The sequence below is a fragment of the Homo sapiens genome, chromosome 20 (assembly GCF_000001405.40).
Source record: "Homo sapiens chromosome 20, GRCh38.p14 Primary Assembly".
Classification (NCBI taxonomy): domain Eukaryota; kingdom Metazoa; phylum Chordata; class Mammalia; order Primates; family Hominidae; genus Homo; species Homo sapiens.
Genome location: NC_000020.11, coordinates 1,435,924 through 1,439,536, shown reverse-complemented (window position 1 = coordinate 1,439,536; position 3,613 = coordinate 1,435,924).

The window sequence follows — 3,613 nt, the reverse complement described above, 5'->3', positions numbered from 1 at the left end:
ATGACCTTAGACAAGTCACCTAAGCTTCTCTGAGCCTTGGCTTCCTCATTCAGAAAACAGGGATAATGGTAGTTCCTACCTCTTAGACTATGGGGATTAAAGATGTCTGTGAAGCCCTTGACGCATAGGAGGAACTTTATGAATGACAATAGGTGCTGCTGTGTAGCCCTTACCATGTGCCGGGCGCTGTCAAACACTTGAGCATGATCTCATTAATTCTCAACACTCCTGTGAAACAGGTGCTTTTATTATTCACATCTTTACAGAGAATGAAATTGAGTGCCTTGCACGTGGTAGACAACCTGGCCATTAAACGTCTATTGGTTAAATGATCGGAGAATCAGAGAGGAGAAAGCAGTCAAGGACACACTACTAATAAATGACAACTGAGTTTGAACCAAGGGCCATCTAACTCCATCCTCCTGGCCTGGCCTCTGTACCATGAGCTTATTTTAAGTCAGCTCTGGGTGAACCACCTGCAGCAGGAAAAGCTCAGGCTTAGGAGTCAGCCTGCTGGGTACTAGCTGTGTGGCCTCGGCAGGTTCCTTAGTTTGATCATCCATGTGACAATATACTAAGATGGAATTATTTCCATCCCAATTTGGCTGGGTTCCCAAGGCAATAGGGGGCCTAGCTACTCCACCTCCCAGGATGAATTGCTGTCCACACACAGGGCTTTCAAAGACATGGTCAAAAACTAGCTGTGTGTCTCCTTGCCTCTTTCCCACACCAAAGACGTTAAAGGTTCAAGTTGGAGCTCTGAGAAGAGTTTTCTTTAAAGGAAGTTACTGGAGGGCTTTGAGTGCACAGGGGAAGGGGGAGCTTTCCTTCTCCCTCAGCCTAGGGATTGGTGTCTCAAGGAGACCACTCAAGAGCTTGGAGATGACGAAGGTGCCAGGCACCCACCTCACACCTGAGCAATCTTGAAAGCAAGAGGCTGATGAAGCAAAGAGAACTTGGTGTGAAGGAGCTTGTGCTATAAGTCCCATCAGCCAAATGTGGACCCATGAGGCAGCCAGACTGGACTGTCCTGGGTCTTGCTCTGGAAGGACAGAGGGACCTTAGTGCAAGATAGACCTTGGGTTGCAGGACTGAGGGAGGAGTTACAAGCAGCCAGCTAGAGAATCTATTGGCTTCCTCAAGGGAAGTGAACCAAGATCTGAAGAACCAACAAGTGCACCCTAGAGGGAAGCCCAGAGCATCTGCACCGGCCACAGGAAACCAGCAGGCCCTTCCCCATGTCCCCTGCGACCCTGCCCCTGAGAGAGGGAAGAAGCTGTACTTCTAAATGAAGTTCAAAATCTTGACTATGACCTGGGAATGGCCTTTTTAAAAAAAATTACTTTTAAATAGGTAATATATTTACATGGTGCCAAAAAATGTCTTAGATACCTCCCTTCTTATCCATGCCATTTGCCCAATTTCCCCTCCCTCCCTCCCTCCCCACTATAAGTTTCTTAGTTGTCCTTGCAGAGTTCCTAAATACAAGCCGATACTCTCTGTCTATTCTGAGGCATCCATTGTTTCCCATATTTTAGCAACTCTGAAATCAGAATGCATCATACAAGAAGGCAGTCCTGGTGTCACCTAATACCTTAACATATTTATTTTGTCTATATGTTTCCTTTTTATTTGTGCCCAAAGTTGATATGATATAAATTCATGTCTAAATAAGTCTAAATGAGTTCTCAAATATAAAATTCTAAGCATTGTGCCAATTTAATCAGCAATGGTCTTTCTTAGTGGCATATAAATTAATGGTGGCTTTGTCACTCCTGGCATCTTAGATCCAATAGATCTGCAGCGATTCTTATTCACAAGTGTGTCAGCCTGCCCACCACTATCTACATCTTTTTCCATTTAACAGTAGATTTTGGAGGTCATTTGTTGTGAAGGACATGTGGGTGTCTCCTGGGTTTTGCTGTTACAAACAGTACTACAGTGGCAAAGCTTGTATATGCAAATGTGTAAAGAGTAAATTCCCAGATGTGTAAGTGCTATTTACTCTTGCACCCGCAGTGGACTTGAGAGCCTGTTTTCCCACAGATTCGCCAGCAGGGTGCGCTGTGAGCATTTGCCTGTCAGGTAAGTGAGCAGTGGATTCACAGTGTGGTTTTGTTTGCATTAATACCAGTTGTTGTTGTTGTTGTTTTGTTGTTGTTGTTGTTGTTGTTTGAGACAGAGTCTCACTCTGTTGCACAGGCTGGAGGGCAGTGGTGCGATCTTGGCTCACTGCAACCTCTGCCTCCTGGACTCAAGAGATTCTTCTGCCTCAGCCTCCCAAGTAGCTAAGATTACAAGCACGCACCACCACGCCCAGCTAATTTTTGTATTTTTAATAGAGAGGGGGTTTCACCATGTTGGCCAGCCTGGTCTCAAAGTCCTGACCTCAGGTAGTCCACCCGCCTCAGCCCCCCAAAGTGCTGAAATTACAGGCATGAGCAACCGCGCCCAGCCCATGAATACTATTTATTGAGTATTTTTCTGTACCACATTATTAACTACATATTTCTCATGAATCATCCCATTTAATCCTCAGGCAAGCCCTATAAGACAGGTACCATTTTTAATTCTATTTTAGATATGAGGGTGAGAGAGGTTAAGCAACATGCCTATTCCACCTAGCCAGCATGTGCAAGTCCACAATTTTATGATAAATTTACCTTAGTTTTTTCTTTTTTTTTTTTTTTTTTTTTTGAGACGGAGTCTTATTCTGTCACCCAGGCTGGAGTGCAGTGTCATGATCTCAGCTCACTGCAACCTCCATCTCCCAGGTTCAGGCAGTTCTCCAGCCTCAGCCTCCTGAGTAGTTGGGATTACAGGCATGTGCCACCACACCCAGCTGATTTTTGTATTTTTTAGTAGAGATGGGGTTTTGCCATGTTGCCCAAGCTAGTCTCAAACTCCCGACCTCAGGTGATCCGCCCACCTCGGCCTCCCAGAGTGCCGGGATTACAGGTGTGAGCCACCGTGCCTGGCGATAAATTTGACCTTAGTATGTTTATTTCGGAGCTTGTACTCTTAATCACTCTGCATATTGCCTCCCTTAACATTTACTTGTGCATAAAGTGTTGAATAATATCCAACTTAGGCTTGAATGTTGAATGTTTCCAGCTTAGGGTTTCCTGGAATGATGAATACTAGCATCTTATTCATAATGATCTGATCATAACATCTATGCAAATTTTAGTTATTCCTACTTCAGGATGGTATTCAAAGTCTTCATCGTATGTGGCCAATCTTTGATGAGTTGGTAAAATCTATATAATATAACCTGTTCATTTTTCAGGTATGTGAGCACATAATTATGTTTCTTTAGGATACTGCTTGCTATGGTTGCGGATTTTCTAACTTGCTTTCTCTGTTTTTTTTAGAACATTTTTGTGGGTATGAGAAATTGATGAATATTGTTATTCATGTTCTCAAAGAAAAAATATGCTGATTGGATCACCTCTTCTTTCCTTCCTTCCTTCCAATTGCACCAACTTCCCTGATGGGCATGGCTCCCTTCACTGTCGGGTTGGATTCTCATTACTGTCTTTTGGAGATGCCTGGGATGCACTGCATTGTACAGACAACTGCCTTCATCTTTGGAATGAGTTTTAAGTTGTCT